Source organism: Homo sapiens, chromosome 13 (assembly GCF_000001405.40).
Source record: "Homo sapiens chromosome 13, GRCh38.p14 Primary Assembly".
In the NCBI taxonomy this organism is placed as follows: domain Eukaryota; kingdom Metazoa; phylum Chordata; class Mammalia; order Primates; family Hominidae; genus Homo; species Homo sapiens.
In genome coordinates, this window is record NC_000013.11 from 31739143 (window position 1) to 31760007 (window position 20865).

The 20865-nt window shown below is 39.0% G+C and overlaps 1 protein-coding gene across 3 annotated transcripts in view; it reads left to right on the top strand.

Annotated features, from left to right (window-relative positions):
- RXFP2 (relaxin family peptide receptor 2) overlaps positions 384–20865 on the top strand; it is a 63864-nt gene continuing 43382 nt past the window's right edge. For all 3 annotated transcript variants that reach the window (NM_130806.5, NM_001166058.2, XM_017020389.2), the window contains exons 1-2: positions 384–564; positions 19116–19262. In NM_130806.5, the coding sequence (NP_570718.1) occupies positions 471–564; positions 19116–19262 (241 nt within the window). In that variant the 5' untranslated portion in view covers positions 384–470. The remainder of the gene's footprint in view (positions 565–19115; positions 19263–20865) is intronic.

Genomic DNA, 20865 nt, shown 5'->3' on the forward strand with positions numbered 1-20865 from the left:
GGGTGTTCTTTGTGTATCTGTCAATAAGTAGTTTTTTACATTTGTTTATTGCATGAAAATATAATTGTAAAGGGTTTCATAGCCTATTCAGTGTAAGCCTATATCCTTCATATTTGAGAACTTCGATGTTTGGATTTAAACAGAGCAAATTGTACATGCTTTGGAGGAAAAAAATTTTTAAGTGATTAAAAAATATTTCTTATCAGATAATACCAAAGTCCTATTATACCTTCTTTTACACACCATAATGAATTAGTGATCAAGAACACAACTGTAGATTTAAACTAAAAGAAACAAAAAAGAAAGAACAAAAAAGACAGGCTGCATAGTGACAAGAATCCATCTCCCTTCATGCCAGTGAGGTTCTAGCTGTGAGCATGCTCAGAACATGGGAGGCACTGAACTTACTACATCAGAACTCCTGCTGAGGTATAAGAGGATACGTCTAATAACTCAATTGCTGTAAACCTATGATTGTTTTTCTGGTTTTTAAACATCTCTTCAGCCTCAGATTGATTACAATGTTCTTTCTACTTCATTTCATCGTTCTGATCAATGTCAAAGGTAAGGTTGCTACTTTCTCGTTTTAAATGAGTGCAATTCCCAAAAAATACATTTCTATGTAGTTCTATGGCAGTTGTAATAAATATATTGGGGTGTTTAAAAAAAAAACAGACATCAAATTTGCCTGGTATTTGTCATTATCTTTCATTGCTTGTAGTCCCACACAGCCTAGTAATTTTTAGATGCAACAAATTTTTCATGGAAACAAGCCTTTGTATGTTATTAAAGCTGTAGATAAAATATGTCAAAAAACAATGTTGACTATATCAATTAAAACATAGAAAACATTTTTGGCATTTGTTCTGAAAAGTGTGACAAATTAATAAACTAAAATTGTGTTTTGTGGAATTTCAACCTGTTGAAATATGCCCATAAAATTCAAGTAATTATTAGTAACTATCTTGCGTGAACATAATTAAACTGGGAACTCCAAAGCCACAGGCAGATCTAAAAAACAGTATCTGTCTCTAAGAGTAAACCTCTCTAAAATAAAGTTATTAAAAGTCTATACAAGTGCATTTACTTAGATAATTTTCTTTTGTTTTTAATTTGTGGAAATTTTTATTTCAGTCAAACTCTTAAGTTTCAAGTCAGTACCATTTTCATTGTAAAGCTCACCAAAAAATAAAACCTAAATCTTCACTTGTTTTTAAATAAAAAGATACGTTGTCAGCCTATACATTCATAAACAACCTATTAACCACACCCAAGATTTGCTGGGGTTTATTATTATTCAAAAATGTTTCTATTTTAATTTGTATTTTTTCTTAAAGAATTTTGATAAACCTCTGAGAATAAAGGTTAAAATTTGAAATTATTTTTATTTTCTGAGAAATTCGTTTTAGGTTTTTTAAATATTCAGTTTTATTAGGTGAATTCCAAGTGAATATTTTAAATCTTGAAATAAAATGCAATACTTATGAGGAATTATTTTAAAACTTCTAACAAACAAAAGATTTTTAAAAGGCTTAAAATATCTAAATTTTATTTTGAATTTAAAATAATACTAAAACTTTACTACAAATATTTAAAATCTATATCTCCATGCACCTAGCATGACTTTTATTTTATATTTTAATATCTCTTACATGAAAAGCTAAGGATTAACTAAGAAGAAACAATATATGAACTCACCTTGCATGCAGTACAGTTGCAACAAGCAGTCTATTTCTATATTTAAGGTCCTACTTCAGAAGTTCATGTTCTATCCACATTTGAATATTCAATTTTATACAATTTTAAGAATATACAGCTACAAAGCAGGTTCTTAAGACATGTCATAGAGCTCATCTGTGCCCTTAAAAAGTTCTTTAATGTACGGGACTATAACCACAGTTTAACCAATTTTACTATACTTTTGCTTTTATACATAATGCATTTAATTGATTTTGCTTAAACCGTTTATGAGATGAAAAACATCTATTACTAAAATAACATTTTGTGATTTACCATAATGTAAAGTCACCCTTTAAACTAAAAAAAAGTTCAATTAATAATTTTTGTTTGATTTTATTTCTAAGTAAAAGCCATATTTCAAACTCCTAGTACCAACCTAACAAATATTTATTGATTATAATCCTGGAAATTTTTATTTTCTAATTTTATATTACTTTTGACTACTAATTTAAACCTTTATGTTTAAAATGATTTCTTTTCAAAGCAAGACACATTAATCAATGCTTTGACATTTTATTCCTACTTATAAAAATAATAGAATTTGCTCTATAATTAGTAAAACTCTTTTCTTTTTCACAACAAAATTGTGGACAATTAAAACGGTAAGGCTTTTCATAGTAACCAAAGAAAGCTCATTTAGAGTTGCCTAAGAGTAAAGGTTGTCTTTTTAATTTAAATAATATTTGTGATAGACTCTTAGGCCAGATCTAAACAAAACATAAAATTAGAAATTATGTGATCGTCTTTTCTTCTCTGACCATCATCACTCTGGAGTGCCTAAGGAATGAGTGATTGCCTTAAGCTACAGGCACTAACAGACAACTATGCATAATGTATCTTATTATTATTACGTGTGTTTTATCATTAATTTATTCACTGTGTATCTCTGTTAACCAGCTTCAAACTACTTTTTAAAAAACATTTCTTAATGGACAAATTAGGAACCATATTACATATCAAAAACATGGGCTTATGTAGGAAATTAAAAGCATGAAGTATTGAGACTGCTACTTGGTAACTACCAATTGTGTTTTGTGGAATTTCAACCTGTTGAAATATGTCCATAAAATTCATGTAATTGTTAGTAACTATCTTGCGTTAACGTAATTAGACTGGGAACTCCAAAGCCACAGGCAGATCTAAAAACAGTATCTGTCTCTAAGAGTAAACATCTCTAAAATAAAGTTATTAAACATAACTTTAAACTTTTAAAAAACATTTCTTAATGGACAAATTAGGAACCATATTACAAATCAAAAACATGGGCTTATGTAAGAAAGTAAAAGCATGAAGCATTGAGGCTGCTACTTGGCAACTACCAATTGCTACTTAAATAATTTGCTTAACCTCCAAAATAGGTTAACCAAAACCGGGCCCGAACAGTATTTTGAGGGGAGCAGTGTTTGACTGCCCCCTAGTGGCCAGACTCAAGGCATGCCTGGCATGGTCCTTTCTTACGGATGTCAGTTTCACTTGGCCACTCTGACTTGAGAAAAGGTTTTCCATCTGAATTTTAATTTCACAACTTTATATTCATGCTGTGGATAGTTGTGAAAATCAATTATGTTTCAGGCCAGTCATCCCGAAGACTGACCTGCTTGCGGGCTGAATGAAGCCCACTGTGAGGGAGGAGGAAAAAGATTGGGAACATGGGAGTTAAAACCTTTAGAGATGTGTTATCTCTGAAGACGCCAGCTAAATACATCTCACAACAGATGCTTACTCGTGTGTTCATCTTACTGTGAATAAATATGACCAGATGTAATCAAAGAGTTTTAAGGCCTCTCACTTGAAGTGACAAAATTGCCTGCCATGTGAATTTTAGAGGCAAAATTGGGATGCTGCTTTCTAATAGGTTGGTATCGAAAAATGGCACATTTTTATTCTGGAATATAGTAAACCAAATAAAATTCAATTAGCAAAGAATGATTTTGTATAAATAGTTATGCAACAAAAAATGCAACTAATTTTTAGCAGTACATATCTATTTAAGAGCCCAGAATGGCTTGGTTTATTTATTTGGTAAACATATAACAACATTCTTTGGGTAAAATGAGTGTGCTTGTTTCACATGTGAAGTAGTAGTGGCATTAGAGGCCTAATTATCTAAAAACAAAAAATAAACCTCTCATATGCTTTACTCACCCGTACTTCCAGGTTTTTGCATGTATTTTAAAAAATTAAGTTTGCAGTGAAGGTCAATGTTGTTATCAGAAAAGTGCTCCGAAGCGAAAATAAAACAGCTGATTCAACAGTCATGTGATAAACAGACTTTTGAGTGTTTTAAGATGTAAAAAGAATTGAGATTGAGGCCATACGCAGTGGCTCACACCTGTAATCCTAGCACTTTGGGAGGCAAGCAGATCACTGAAGTCAGGAATTCAAGACCAGCCTGGAAAACATGGTGAAATCCCATCTCTATTAAAAATACAAAAATCAGGCAGGCATGGTGGTGCACACCTGTGGTCCCAGCTACTCGGGAGGCTGAGGCAAGAAGATTGCTTGAACCTGAGAGGCGGAGGTTGCAGTGAGCCGAGACTGCGCCACTGTACTCCAGCCTGGGCGACAGAGCGAGACTCTGTCTCAAAATTAAAAAAAAAAAAATTAAAGAATTGCGATTGAAAATTTAACTTTATTACAAAGTAAAAAGCCTTTACAACATGTTCAATGTGATTGATAAAGTTCTAGTCCTCCTTTCCCATCCTCCCCCTTCCCACTGTTCTGACTCGGGCCCCCTTGCTCCTGTTCAAGCCTCTCGCCTCTCCTTCCCATCTTTATTTATTCTCCCCTCCTCCCTGCCTCTGCAGGCATCTGTCTCAGATGCTCTCCCGGCCTGTCTTTTCTCCATTTTCATGTCTCGCCCTCCTACCCCCATCCCTATCTTCTTGCTGTCCTCACCTCTGAAATCTCCCTTCTGCTCACCTTGGGCCTGCTCTTCAGCTCTCTTGCTCTCTGAGTTCCCATATCCTCCAACTCTGCCTTTGTCCTGGCTACATCCCATTCTCGGTAACTCTCACACCTGCTCCATCCTGATTGGTCACATCTGGCTTTTCATTTCCACCTTGGAATACATCTATCCCTAGATTCGCCCCCTTAAGTATTCCTGTCTCTAATCACCTCCTGTCTTTGCCGAGCTCCCTCCCCAGGGGCTTCCTGGATCTTCTTTGTCTCCCTTTTTTGGCCTTTGCCTTCTTTCTATTATTTGTCTCTATCCCACAGTCTCCTGGCCCGACCAGTGGTCACCATGTCTGTTGCTTGCTAGAATACATGCCCAAATACCACCAAATGAATATTGTATCTCTGTATTACTTCAATACTGGTGTGCTCTCTTTTTCTAGGTCCAATGATTTGTCTACAATTCTAAAATCCAGAAAGCTCAGAAAACTGAGTTGATCACCTTTGCCTACAAAATCTGGTCAGAATTGGCCAGGAGCTATTTAGATTCTTTATGCACTTATTGTAAAATTTCATACACTGTGCTATAGAAAAATGTTCATGTGTTTGCTTAGGGAACTTTGCCCCAGGTCAGTAGGAAACTATATAGTTCATAGCATGTGCATTAACTTTCTAAAATTCTAAAAAATGTTATAAATTCTGCAACATATCTCTCCAAAGGGTTTCTGCTATGATGGTACAGATCTCCATTAGCCATGCCCCTCTACAGATCACCAACTGTTCTGTGCCATATTATTCTCGAGTGGCATAATGGCTATTTTATTTGCCCAAGGAAATTCAGTGTTAATAGAATGTGTCTGATGAAGGAAAGATAATTTTAACTAATTCTCCTTTTCTCTGATTCCAGTTTATTTTCTATTCAATTGCTAGGTTTGTTTTTGTTTTTTTTTTCAGTGACTATATTTTTTATTTGGATCATTCCAACTGCGTTTAAAGCTGTCTGTTTGGGGTTTTATAAACTTTCATTCTTATTTCATGATATATTCCTTCCATTAGTTCTTTGAGAATTTTAATCACGCAGAGTTTAAAATAGTCTTTAAAGCTCTATCAGCTGGGCGTGGTGACTCACACCTGTAATACCAGCACTTTGGGAGGCTGAGGTGGGCAGATCGCCTGAGGTCAGAAGTTTGAGACAAGCCTGGCCAACATGGTGAAACCCTGTCTCTACTAAAAATACAAAAAATTAGCCAGACGTGGTGGTGCGTGCCTGTAGTCCCAGCTACTTGGGAGGCTAAGGCAGAAGAATCGCTTGAACCCAGGAGGTGGAAGTTGCAGTGAGCCAAGATTGTGCCACCATACTCCAGCCTGGGTGACAGAGTCAGACTCCATCTAAAAAAAAAAAAAGCTCTATCATCTCTTTCCCAGGTATGAATTCCCCCTTTTTGCGGAGCCCTGGACATTTTCATAAAGTTGGAAGAATGTTTCTCCTGCACACAGCTCCTCAAAGTAGTCTCAGAAGTACTTCCACATAGCCCAGGGAGTGTTCAGGTCTGAACTGTCGCATCTCAGAGGTTTTGCCTGTGGGTGAACCAGTTCCAAATCTCATGCCCATTTGCAGTGGTATCACCACTTCTTTCCTTGCTGGCCATGAGCAAGCATTATTTAAATCACAATCTTGGGCGATCAGAGTTATTCCATACCCCATGCTTTGTCAGGGGCTGAGTCCCAATGCTTGGCTTCATGCAGATCCCAGCCTCTGCCAGTTGGGCTGCACTAAGCCCCTTTCTCAAACTGGCATTGAACCCAGTTGCGATTGTTTCTGCAGTCCCGGCTCCCTGCAGAACAAGTGGTTTTACGTCCTCTCGCAACAGTGGCCTTTTCTGAATTCATGTTCTATGGAGAGCTTTCTCTCCTACAACCCAAATGTTTTCATGAAAAAGCATAGTATCAGTTTTTTCTGTGTCTGTGGAAGAGTATGATGTGAGAGCATATTCAGGGTTTTCTCACAATGGATGACCTTGATCCAGAAGTTCAGCAAAGAAGGTAGACTTTGTCCTTCAGACTGTCCGTTTTCAAAGATTGGATATGGGTGAACATACAGACACCAGAGATCTGGAGTCGTGAAGTAAAGTGCTACACAAACGTTAAGAGATTAGGAGACGGGAGGCAGCAGAGCAACAAGGATGCTGGATTTGGGGTCAGCAAACCCATGTTCAAGTCATAGCCTTGACCTTGACTGGCGTTTGGCCTTCGGCATACCAAATAACTTCTCCGCTTCATCCACAATACTTACATAATTATCGAGTTTCCAAGAACCACTTGTCATGATGTCAGAGACATAGATTCCAGAACTCCAGCCCCTGATGATTCAATAGGTCTATGGTGGGTCATGGGCTCTGCACATTTAGGAAGCAGCCCAGGTGATTCTGATAAACCTGTTCAATGGATCATACACCTGGAAAAACTGGCCAAAATATACATGGGCTTTTTTTTCTTTGAGATGCTAATTTTTGTTATATTCTTTGTATGTATCAGGATTGCTAATTGGATTCACCTGGATTGTTTGACACATTAATTCTACTTGAAACGGTGTTTTAAATTTGGGGGCAATGAGGACAAATTAAGTATTTGGTAAGGGAATAGCTGAATCTACATTGTCTACTTATCAATATAAAGTTTCTTAACAAATAGTATAGTTCAAAAACTGTAATTAATATGCTAGTTTACCTATAGAGCAGACTTGATGTTAATTACCACTCCCACCTTTAAGAGAAATTAATAAACTCATAAGACAAATGGCTAAGGAAGAATCTCTTCTGATTTGGGGCCAGATTCTACTTCTTATTCATCACCTGGCTTTCTTTATCCAATTTTTTATTCGATTATAGCTCAGCCAGTAGACATTGAATAGGTCATTGCCTCTTTCTCTCTTTTTCTGTTATTCACACCTTGCCTGGGACATTCTGTTTCAACCCCACAGGCTAAAAAATAATATATCTATTGCTGTAGATATTTCTACTCATAATTTCCTTTCATGTAAACCCATGGTATATAAGAAATGTAGAAGACACTGATTCTCTTTCATTCTGCCTTAAGAGCCACTGTAAAAGTATTCCCTTAAAAGCCTCAAAATTCAATCTGAGGGTGAGATGATAGTTATGTAAACTTTCTTATACATAGGAAAAGGATAATAATCTACACTGAGTGTTACAGGAAAACTCTGTTCCCTTATTTGAAGCCATTTCCTTTTTGGCTGTTTCCTGTTTCCCACTTTAAAATGCCACTCTTACTGTAATAACTAAAGTTAAAATTAACCACTTGGAAAAATAAATTGCCCTCCCTAAAAGCACAGGGTTGTGTACATGCTGTTATTTTTGTTCATTTTACCTGTGAATTGTAAGTTTTGAAAAGAATAAAGCATGAGAAAATTACCTGTGCTGTGACCCGATTCTCAAAATTATATGGGCCACCTTACCCCATCCTACATAGATTCCAGCTGAAAAATTAAGAGAGGCCCTTTGCCACCGCTCCTCTTCCCTAGAAAATGGCTTAAAAAAAACAGAAGATGTTGCCAAGCAAGTTTTTCACTTAAAAAAACTGAACCATTGGTGTAAGATAAATGAAAAAAAGAAAATGAGCATAATGCTTCTATTACATGCACTCAACCCACACTGACATCATCATCAGCAGATGTATGCCCAAGTTTGGCCTAAGCTTCTGACATGGATTATCACTGAAGCACTGATGTGCTCTCCACTCCTACATATGGAGCTTTAGGTCTTTGTGGCTCACTTACAGAAACGGCATTGCTATTCCGGAAAATGTTAATTAAGTTCAGACAACAATTTTTGAGGCATCTGCTATATACTAAGAACTGAAAACTTTTCTAGCCATTGAGAGAATCAAAATTAATAAATTCCATTACTTTTAATGGCAAAAACCACAATTTATTTTGCACCAGCTTAATAGTATAATAATAATGACATGCTATAAATATTACATAGAGGTATGTGCAAGATGGTTTGGGTAGAAAAAAGGGAAAGTTTGTACTGAGGAGTGGTTTTGAAAAGTCTCAGTAAAGTTTTTGCAAAAATGACTTCTGAGATGATCATCAAAGAAATAGGAAATACAGAGAACAGAACATGCTACAATCTTAGTATCTTAATTATCTTAAAAGTCAGAGCTGCAAAGAATGTTTTCCTAACTGAATACAAGATAATTGTAAAAAGTGAAGGAGAACTGTCCACTGGCCCTGCTTGATCTGAAATCACTTTGGATGTTGTAGTTTGCTCATTTTCAAGACTATATGGTATGTCATTGAGAAATATTCCACAAATGTTTATCCGTTTTATTTTTCAAAGACACTTGGATTATTTCTGGCTTGGGGCTATTGTGAATAATTCTGCTGTGAACATTCTTGTATGAATCTCTTGGTGCACATGTGCATGAATTTCTATGGGCATTTACCTAGAAGTAAATCTACTGACTCGTAGGGTTTGCACAATTTCAAACTTAGTAGATAATGATAAACTGTTTTCCAAAGCAGCTGTTCCAATTAACACTCCACCAGTGTATGAGGATTTGCATGATTTTACATCCTCACCAAATAGTGTATCATTGGGTTTTTTATTTTTAAATTACACCCATACTAGTAATCTTAGTGATATTTTATCATGGTTTTAATTTGCATTTCTCTGATTATGAATTAGATTTAATACCTTTTCAGATGTTTTTCGTCATTCAGATATCCTCTTTCGTTCGGTACCTATTCAAGTCTCTTGCCCATTTTTCTATTTACCGTTCATTTTTCTTTATTGATTAGTAGGACACCTATACGTTTGTTAATTACAGACCCTTTGCAAATATCCTCTACTCTGCAGCTTGTCTTTGCACTCTCTTAATGATGACTTTTTTTAAAAGACAGGCCAGGCACTGTGTAAAAATCTCGCCTGTAATCCCAGCACTTTGGGAGGCCGAGGCGGGCAGATCACGAGGTCAGGAGATCGAGACCTACCTGGCCAACATGGTGAAACCCCATCTCTATTAAAATACAAAAAAGAAAAAGAAAAATTAGCTGGGCGTGGTGTTGTGCACCTGTAGTCCCAGCTACTCAGGAGGCTAAGGCAGGAGAATCTCTTGAACCCAGGAAGCAGCAGTTGCAGTGGGCCAAGATCGTGCCACTGCACTCCAGTCTGGTGACACAGCAAGATTCCATCTCAAAAAAAATAAATACAAGGACGTTCTTAATTTGTATATTGTCTAATTTAGGTATCTTTTCCTTTATGATTAGTACTTTTATTTGGCTTTTCTTCTTTGTATTCTCCTTAATACATCTATCTCACAGTCATAAAGATTTTTTCTTATGTTATCTTCTAGAAACTGTATTGTTTCTCCTTTCATATTTCAACCTATTATCTATCTAGAATTGAGCATCACCTCGCCTCACTCCTCTGTGGTACAAATGATTACATATGTGTCTGTCTTCTTCCAAACTTTCTATTCTGTTCCATTGGTCTATTTTTCAATCTTTCCACCAACATCACACTGCCTGAACTATTGTACCATTATAATATGTCTTGCCATACAGATAATGAGTCCTCTCTCCTTGTTCTCCTTCTTCAGTGGTAGCCTGGCTCTTCGTGTTCTTTTGCATTTCCACATGCCTTTGAGAATCAACTTATCCATTCCTACACACATACTCCTGGGATTTTTATTGAGATTTCTTTGAATCTATAGATTGATTTAGGGAAAGAATGAACATCTTTAAAATATTGTCCTCCACTTATTTATGTTTGTAATGTCTTTCACTAATAGTATATACTTTACATAAATGTCTTGCCCATTTTTTGTTAGACTTATTCCTAAATACATGACCCTGTTCATGCTGTAGTAAAAGGTGTGATTTTTAAAATGTTTCATTGTCTAATTGTGGCTGAAATATAAAAATACAATTGACTTTATAGAAACTTTGCAAAATTCACCAATGCTAATAATTTATTATTTTAATATTCACAGTCATATTATTTATGAATAATCACAGTTTTATGTCTTCTCTTCCAATATGTATGCCATTAATTTACTCTCCTTGTTTAACTCCATTAGCTAAGCCCTCCAGTACAACAATGAATAGATATAGTAATAGTGGACATCATCAGTCTCAAAGGGAAACCCTTCAAAACCTCACTCATATGCTGTGGGGTTTTATAGATAACTACACTTAATTAAATCAAGTAAGTTACCTTCTATTTTTAGTTTGCATAGTTATTTTAAAGTCAGGATCTGGCAGTTCCATCTCTGGAGCCTCTCATAAACGGAGTTAAAAACAAGTGACAAACTGCAAGAAAATATTTGTGAGTCACAGAACAGAGGACTAACCTCCCTAAAGAATTCTGGTTGCATTGCCCATTTCCGTTTTCTCACACATGGTTCAAAACACTGGTCCTGACTATTGCGTCAGGAATGAAAGTTTCACCGTCTCATCAGCATGAATTAGATGAAAGACAATCTTTTCAAAGGAATACATTTTTCATAAAGCCAAATGTATTCCTTTGAAAAGATTGTCTTTTCTTCTGTAGGTATAGTCTCTCTAATTTTTAACACTAAAATACTACTTTTCTAATAAATCAATGTTAAAATATATGGTAACTCAGAGTTTTAAAATCATCCTTATTTAACAAACTAAAACATTAGTGACTTTTGACAGGTTTCTCTAAATTCTTTAATTGAATTTATTTGGTCTAAGAAATGCAAAAATCTAGAAACCTCTGATCTAACGCATGTCAGAGATAGTCAGTGTATTGACAAAGAAAATGGAGCTGATGAATTAAGGAGATAAAGAGGAAGAAAAGGAATTTTTAGAAAATATGGAGGGAAAAAAGTTTTTAACCTGGGGACAAAGGTTGGATGTGTCAAATGCAGAAAACCAAGCAAGATGAGGACTATGAAAGAGCCATTGGATTTAGTGTCAAAATGGATGACAGTGATTCTGGTGAGAAGAATGTCAGCGGAGCAGCAAGGTCAAGATGGAAGCTATGGATTTAAGAATGAAAGTGTGGTAAAGAAGTGGAGACATTGACTTACTTGTATGGTTCTTCTGAGAAATTTAATTGTGAAGGGGAGGAGAGTATATCTCAGTTTTACAGGCAGGCAGATATAACAGGATTTAGGTTGGTTGACTCGTTTGTTTTGAAGATGGGAGCTGTGCAATAGAGAGACAAAGATATTGAAAATAGCTGGGTGCAGTGGCTCATGCCTGTAATCCCAGCACTTTGGGAGGCTGAGGTGGGTGGATCATCTGAGGTCAGGAGTTCAAGACCAGCCTGATTGACATGGTGAAACCCCATCTGTACTAAAAATACAAAAAAATTAGCTGAGTGTGTTGGCGCATGCCTGTAATTCCGGCTACTTGGGAGGCTGAGGCAGGAGAATCACTTGAACCCTGGAGGCGGAGGTTGCAGTGAGCCGAGATCATGCCATTGCACTCCAGCCTCGGCAACAAGAGTGAAAATCCATTTCAAGAAATACATATATATTATATATATATACACAATATAGGAAAGAAAGGAAACAATGAATGCAGAGTCTGAGAAAGCAAGGTCGAGGTGAGCACAGAACATAGATGGAAGGCTTTACTATAGGAAAGACAAGAGATCTTCATTCTTTGTGCATCACAAAAGAAGAATCCAGGGACCTGGTCTAGTCCTGTGCAGTTTCCACACACTCAGCACGAGCAGTCTATGTGGATGGTACCCACGCTTATGTGAGGTGGGTCCTGCCCAAACATACACTGCAGCCTGGGATGCAGGTACATTCGTAAGTTGATGGGAATAGAATCTGGGATAATTCCCACTCAGAGGAAGAACAGCCAGTGAAAGTTCCATGGGACATAGCAGTCAATGAATCAGAGAAGAATTAAAAGAGAGGTGAAGGGACCAAGGTACCACCTTCTCTCCACATTTCTCAAACCAAGTTCCCATCGGGCTTCCCCTTGCCTGTCTCCTTCACAATCCCCCTTTCCATGGTCTTCTCCCCTTCACCCACCACACTGCCCATTCTCTCCATTCACTCGCCTCAGGCAGGCTTTAGGAAGAAGGTAGTCTCTCAACTCATGCAGAACGAGATGAATTTTACATACTGAAAGGTAAGATTTTAACCTAAAAGAATGCATCTCTAAAGGTGGAGTTTTGGCAGTTTACCAGTCAGCAGAAATAATACTTTTGGAAGAGAAGTCTTCCTTCTTCCCTTAAATCCCTTATAACCCACCAACAGCCACAGCATTCTGTTTGTGACCCACATAAAGACACCCAGGCAAGGAGGATGTGGGGCTGACATCCATCCCTGGTAAGGATGAGGTTGGCAGTTTGAAATTCTCTTTTTTTCCAATGTAAATGAAAATGTATTGAGCCTACACTCTGTTCCACAAAGTTAGGCAGCATTTCCCCAAATCTGTCTTTCAAACATTAGGCAGTCATCTGAAGAAGGAGGGGGGTAATATTTTCTGCCCCCTCCCCCCCAAAAAATCTGTGGATAGGGTCCTGAGGGACTTTTACCAGCATGAAGTGTTTGCTTTGTCCCAGAAGAACACGACAGAAAATAGAGGTTGGGAGAAATTCCATTAGGGCAGGAATCTCTGAAGTGGAAAGGAGGTGGGGTAAATATGTGTGAATGAAACTGGATCAAACTTCTGAATATAACGATTGATGTGGCCAAGAAACACCATCCAGGCGGGGAGTACCAAACAGTTGCCTGAAAGGGTAAGATTGCCAAGTTTGGAAAACAACAACAACAACAACCACCAAGAGGCCAATTTCTCTTCGCCTACCTTAGCATTAAAGCCTTTTAAGAAAGACTTTCCTAGTTTTCTCCAAACAAACAACAAATCATCTATCCAACAAAGGTGGACTTTTAGTAAAATTGACTCTTCGCAGAAGTAGGGGCAGGCTCTGGCCAGGTGCACTCCGCTGATGGAGCTACTTCTCCTTGGCTTCTCAGTGGAGCCGCCCGGGACAGTGCTGCTGCCCCCCTCAGAGATGCCAGCCCCTGAGTTCTTGGTAGTGATGGACGCTGTCTGCTTTGCTGACTGACAACAAACTGCGGCACATAGTAGGCACTTAGTTAACATTTCTGGATGCTAAATGAATGTTCCCTCTGGTGCTGCAGTTAGTTGGCTCTTTGGAACAGATGGCAAGGCTTGCCGGCAATTTCTATAGCCCCTCTGAGGCACCATTGCCATCCTTGGTGACCAGGTCGTCTGACTTTTGTTAAACACCACTAAGCGTGATGCACTCCTCCTTGGCCTATACCCCCCTGGAGCCATCGCCCCTGGTGTTAGAGCCAGAACATCTGGCTGAGAGGATACAGGCTTTCTTCAGCTTTATGTAGGACTAGCATTGGCAGAGAAATAGAGAAAGCAAAAAGGGACTTGTATATCTCCATCAATTCTTAAACTGAGGACCTGAAAGATGATTCTCACCTGTTGTTTCCCAATAATCCAGGGAAAGTGTTGATGGGGAGCAAAAAATAGCCTTGAGCAGCAATCCAGTTGGCTTTAAAAGGCCATCTAAACGTCATTTTAAAATCTCTTGGCACAGACACGTCCAGAATATTGACCAGAAGACAGAAGAAGGGTGACTACTGAGCAATTCTCTGTCGTATGTTCGAGCCTCCTCTCAGCTGTGTGTTTGGCAGAGGTCCCATGGAAACCACTGCAGAAGCCATCAGCACTGCTACCATGCGGGCATCCTCCATTTTTATAATCCCCAAGCTTCAGTAAAAACTGTCTCTTTCCACTTCCACAGAGAGCAGGAAGAATAGACCACAGAATACACTTTCTACAGAGAGCTAGTGATTCTTTTTTCACTATGTACCAAGTACAGCAGGGGTTCTTAATTTTTATTTAATTTGTATAATGACAGAGTGGAATGATAAATGAAGTGCATGGAAGACTAAAAAATAATTTCTCATCAGAATAACAGCCTAAATCTGCTGCTTTGGGAAGCTTAAATTTTGAAAAGTGCTCTTCCTTCAATTCCTTTTTTTTTTATTTCTAAATGGCTCATTAATTCACATGTTCACTTAAAAAGTTACTGAGCACCAAGTAAGACATTAAGTTAGACAATAGAGATGGAAGCCACAGAGAGAAAAGGGTGGGGAATACATTGTATTCATTTATTCTCCTTATACATAAAATTTGTGCTTTGAAATGTCTTCAGGAAGATGCCACTCTGGGGTGGAAAATGGGGAATGACAAGAAATGCAGTCGGCAGGTTCTATTCGTACATGTTCAGTCTCTTCCTCCCCTTCTTTGTCCACACTTGTTAGATGCAACTCAATCTTTTTTCTAGGGAAAAGGAAACCATCTTGATGCCTTTTATTTGTGACAATTGATTGCTTGTTTGCCTCTGCCGCCTAGACGTTCTGCATATGTGAGATGGGCATTTAGTTAGGTCCAGCCCTCAAAGAACTCACAGTCAGCTGGGCGCAGTGGCTCACACCTGCAATCTCAGCACTTTGGGAGGCCGAAGCGGGTGGATCATTTGAGGTCAGGAGTTTGAGACCAGCCTGACCATTATGGTGAAACCCCATCTCTACTAAATATACAAAAAATAGCCGGGCGTGGTGGCGTGTGTCTGTAGTCCCAGCTACTGGGGAGGATGAGACAGGAGAATTGCTTAAACCCGGGAGGGGGAGGTTTCAGTGAGCCGAGATTGTGCCACTGCACTCCAGCCTGGGTGACAGGGCAAGATTCCATCTCAAGAAGAAAAAAAAAAGCAACTCATAGTTATTTTCATAATAAACCCTGGAAGGAAACATCACATGCCACCTTCAAAAGATCCTATTCACATTGCCTCACCTCTCTATTTCAAAATTCTCTTTAATCGAATGCTTAATCGCTTCTTCTAAACATTAAGAAAATATTGTTAGGAGATTGTAAGGACATTTTCCTTGGTTATTTATCATTTACAGTCCTCCTTCAGCTTTCAAAAGAGATTTGAAATAAAATAAAAATCATACATGTGATATGGCTTTTAAGATGGAATAACATAAAGAAGTAGGGGAAGCTTTTATTTTAGTCCCTATTATTTCTTTCAGAGAAGTCACATAAAAAATCATGAAATGCTGAGGCACAGCAAGCTTCCATTTTACATAGAGCTTCCTTCTTAACATTCTATTTTCTTACATTGTATGGAAATTGCCTGTGTGCCGACATCAACCCAGGGTTACCATGGGCCAGGCACTCTCACCACTTCATAAGCATCAGCTTGTCTAGTCCCCAAAACATACCCACAAGGGAGATGCTCTCATTAATTCTACTATAAATGTGAGGAAACTAAGATTTAAAGAGGTTAAGTAGCTTACCTGAGGTCACACAGCTAGTGAGTGGCAGAGAGAATTCTAATCCAGGTCTGAGTGTCTCTGAGGTGCATTATCACTAACGAATGTGTTTAAATAGTGGGTCACATCCCATTAGGGGATCATGAAATCAACTTAGAGGCATGTGATCCCTTCTCAACTGAATAAGATAGAATAGCAATGATCAAAGCTCATCCCACATAACTTTAAAAGAGTGATATTTCGGGAAATTTTGTTTTCATTATGTGGATGTGGGTGTGGGTGTGGGCATGAGTGTGCGTGGGTGTGTGCTAGTGTGTGTGGGTGTGAGAGTGAGTGTGGGGGTGTAGGTGTGTGTTGGGAGCGTGGGTACGGCTGGGTGCATGCTGGATTGTGATATAAAATATATTTCTAACTGCAAATTACTGCCTTAAAAAATTTCTAAGCCACCACACAAAGATATATTGACTCTCTCGTTCATGTTCCAAACACAGGAGGACTACTCATTTTTATAAATCTGACTCCTATAGAAATCTTTACAAGCAAGAAATTAAGGGATTTTAAAATCTATGACACAGTATGCCTCTCCCTGCGTGAACAGGTTTAACAAGCCAACCCCAGTGCCATGCAGTGGAGAAGTCTTCCTAAAATAGTCACAGACTTGACTGGTCTTATGCCTAGCTGCCGGTAGTAAATCTTTCATCCACTACTGCAGCAATAGCAGAGAAAATGATTTTTGCTTTTGTAAGATCAAAATTCCAATGAGCAGAAAAGCATCCAAAAGCCACGCTCTGAGTCTTCCTCCTCAGTCAGAAAAGACCCAGAGGTTGTGGCCACACCAGCCTCCGAAGTGTGCACCAGCACACCCGGCTGACCCCAGAGAGGGCCAGAGGCTCTGCTTTTCCGTGCTTGCGGGATCTCCAGGGTCATCAGGACTAAATGACTCAAGCTGAAATGATCTACTCATCCTAAAAGCTTAATGTGCATTTGTAATTCAGACATAGCTTTGTTGCCTAAACTCCAACCCCTGCCCTTTAACAAATGACATCATTTGTTAATGAGAGCAGCAGGTTCTACCTCCTTTAGGAGAGTCTCCTGAGGGGCTTCTCTACAAGGCAGCATTTGCTTGAAGGGCTCAGGCCTCACAAGAGCATTTTCCCAAGAACCAAAGTAGACGTGCCTTCGTGTTCTCAGTCGTTTCCTCATCTTTATTTGGGGATATTAACGCCAAACATACACAGTTGCCATTAACATCAAATCAAGTAACTAGGAAATGCCCAGCACAAAGTAGATGATGTTCCTACTGAAGTTTGTTCCTTATCCTTCTGCTATGTTAAAAATATCATCTCCCACACCCGCCCAAGGGAATTCTGGGTCATGATGCTAGCCTTCAGCCAAAGTGCGTGGTTAGGAGCACTTTGCCCACATCCCTCATTCCCTTCAATGAGTCATGATGACCTATAGACATTCCTGTGTCTACACTCTCCTTAAATCAATTTCTGTGAAGTTCCAATTTTTTTTTTTTTTTTTTGAGACTGAGTCAAGCTCTGTCGTCCAGGCTGGAGTGCAGTGGTGCCATCTTGGCTCGCTGCAACCTCTGCCCCCCAAGTTCAAGCAACTCTTCTGCCTCAGCCTCCTGAGTAGCTAGGACTGCAGCACGTGCCACCATGCCTGACTAATTTTTGTATTTTTAGTAGAGATAGGGTTTCACCATGTTGGCCAGGCTGGTCTCAAACTGCTGGCCTCAAGTAATTTCCCCACCTCGGCCTCAAAGTGCTGGGATTACAGGCGTGAGCTACTGCACCTGGACAGGACTCTTTTTAAAAAAAACATGACTTCTGTAATTTTATTAGCCAACTTAAAACATGTCTCTTTATTTTCTGAAAAGTATCCTCTCAAAATTGAAAGAATATCTCTTACATTTAAATTGCTAGAATTGTTTTGGTCATCCTATCCATAGATATAATACTTTTGTAAATGTCGATTATATTTATTTTCTTTAATTTCTTATTCAACTCAGCTGTTATTCAACTATCATTGGTCTTCTCTTATGTACCCTGCACCAGAAGATTGTTTCTAACTAGTCCTGATTTATGCTCCTTGAAATGCAGATTCCTGAATTGATTGATAGTCTCATAGTGCAATGGCTAAGGGTGGGCCTATGGGGTCAGAGGGAGGATTCAAAGCCACCCTGTGTCACTTCCCAGACAAACCACTGCACACAAGATATTTAACTTCCCTAATCCCAAAACATGAAGGATAATATCGCCCATACATAGGCTGGCTGAAAGATTAACAATGATAACCACTGTGTGAAGTGTCTGGCAAACAGTAGACCCAGTAGACACGATAGATGAGTGTTCAATGTTCAATTCTAGTTCCCCTCTTTCTAATGTGTTCCAGGATTTCTCTCTAACTCATACTTAAACTCTCCTTTTGCAGGTATATTTTTATCATGTCACCTCAAGTCCTTCTTGTAAAAGATTAATAAGTAAATACATCTACCCATTTGACCTTATTAGCTCATGGTTTTACCTTTCTGTTTCCAAGGGTGGATGACTCCTTGATTTCATACAAATCTAGGACAATACATCTGGTTTTGTTTATGATTACCTTGTGGAAGTGAATTCAAAATGAACCTGGATTCTGTTCTTGATATAGCTGATGTTGGGTGTGATTATGGCTGTTTAAAATGTTATCATTGGCCAGGCGAGGTGGCTCACACCTGTAATCCCGGCACTTTGGGAGGCCAAGGTGGGCAGATCACATGGTCAGGAGTTTGAGACCAGCCTGGCCAACATGGTGAAACCCCGTCTCTACTAAAAATACAAAAATTAGCCGGGTGTGGTGGTTCACGTCTGTAATCTTGGCTACTCGGGAGGCTGAGGCAGGAGAATCGTTTGAATTTGGGAGGCAGAGGTCACAGTGAGCTGAGATCGTGCACTCCAGCCTGGCAACAGAGCAAGACTCCGTCTAAAAATAAAAAATAAAAAATAAAGTTGTCATTGAGAATATTATTCAAAGAAACTGTGCACTAAGAATAATACCAGATGAACTCAACTCATATAGCTCTTGTGAAAATTAAATGGGACAACACGGAGAGAGCTTGGCCATGGTAACACTTTGTTTTTGCCCCTTCTTTCATGTAGATTTTGCACTGACTCAAGGTAGCATGATCACTCCTTCATGCCAAAAAGGATATTTTCCCTGTGGGAATCTTACCAAGTGCTTACCCCGAGCTTTTCACTGTGATGGCAAGGATGACTGTGGGAACGGGGCGGACGAAGAGAACTGTGGTGAGTGCTCCCCTCGGCTCCCCATGTGTGCCTCACTTTATGAACACCCCAAAACTGTGGGTCGGTTGGATAATGATTGTGATAAACTAGGAAAGCTGATTTGGTGTTCTGTAGGGATTTCCTTTGAAACACAAATAATGACTCCCCAATGTATTTGTGATAACGACCTGAATTTTTGTAGGTACAGGTTACTTAAGTCAGAAATACAGTATCATAAAATGTTATATTTTATAAAAATAAAATTATATTTGAAAATCTACTTCAATACTCATATTTTAATTATAAGCAGTTTTCTATGAATACCTCCTTATGGCTGGTAATTTGGTTCAGCTTCAAGAATATTCGTAAAGTGGCTGGGAGTGGCGGCTCATGCCTATAACCCCAGCACTTTGGAAGGCCGAGGCAGGTGGCTCACCTGAGGTCAGGAGTTCGAGATCAGCCTGGCCAACATGGTGAAACCCCGTCTCTACTGAAAATACAAAAAAATTAAAAAATTAGCTGGCCGTGGTGACAGGTGCCTGTAATCCCAGCTACTCGGGAGGCTGAGGCAGGAGAATTGCCTGAACCCGGGAGGCAAGGTTGCGGTGAGCCCAGATGGCACCACTGCACTCCAGCCTGGGTAACAAGAGCAAAACTCCATCTCAAAAAAAAAAAAATGCATAAAGTGTGAATGGGCCTAGCTAAAGAATTAATTGATAGAACAGACCTATACTGAGTGCCTGCTATGTGCCAGGAGCTCTCCAAATCACTGGGACACAGTGAGCTCAAGGGAGACAAGTGTCTTGACCTTGTGGAGTTCACATGGGTAATGTGAACTAAGATGATGATAAACCTGTATGTAAAAAAATCAATAATCTGAGTGATAAATAAGGAAATGAAACAGGATAATGAGATAGAAAGTAACTTGGAGGGAGGGATACTTCAAGGATGTAACCAGAGAAAATCTTTTTAAGATGATGACATTTGGATTGAGAAAGAAAGAAAGAAAGAAAGAAAGAAAGAAAGAAAGAAAGAAAGAAAGAAAGAAAGAAAGAAAGAAAGATACTGTGAAATATTCTGGAGGGGCAGAATTCCAGGCAAAGGCAACATCAAGTGCAAAGGCCCAAGGCTGACTGAAACAGGATGATGTGTTTGATGGTGTGTGGCTCAAGCAGAGTGAACAGGGGTATACACATGGAATGAAGGGGTAACCAGAGACCAGATCCCAGAGCATCTTACAGGCCAATTTCACCTCTGTTTATTGAAACCTAAAAAATATTTTTCTCTGGAGGAAACTGATGCCAAGAGAGGCTGACATGTCTAGTTAATCCAAAAGAATCCTGTGTGTTTTCTCCCACAGAGAGCTACCTCTCTTCAGCACTGCCCAACCATCCATCAAAGTGGGGCAGCAAAGCCCACAGCATGCATCTCTAGAATCTCCTGTCCTGCCCCTGGGTACTCAGGCGTGCCTCCCTCTGAAGGACATAGCCTCTATCCACACTTCCCGTGGATCACTTCTACTCATTCTTTAGGGCCTGGTTTAAGTGTCTCCTCCTCCAGGAGGGCTTCCCTGGCCCCCCTGAAGCTGTATCACCGGTCTAGGATGGCTGCAATTTCTCTGTTA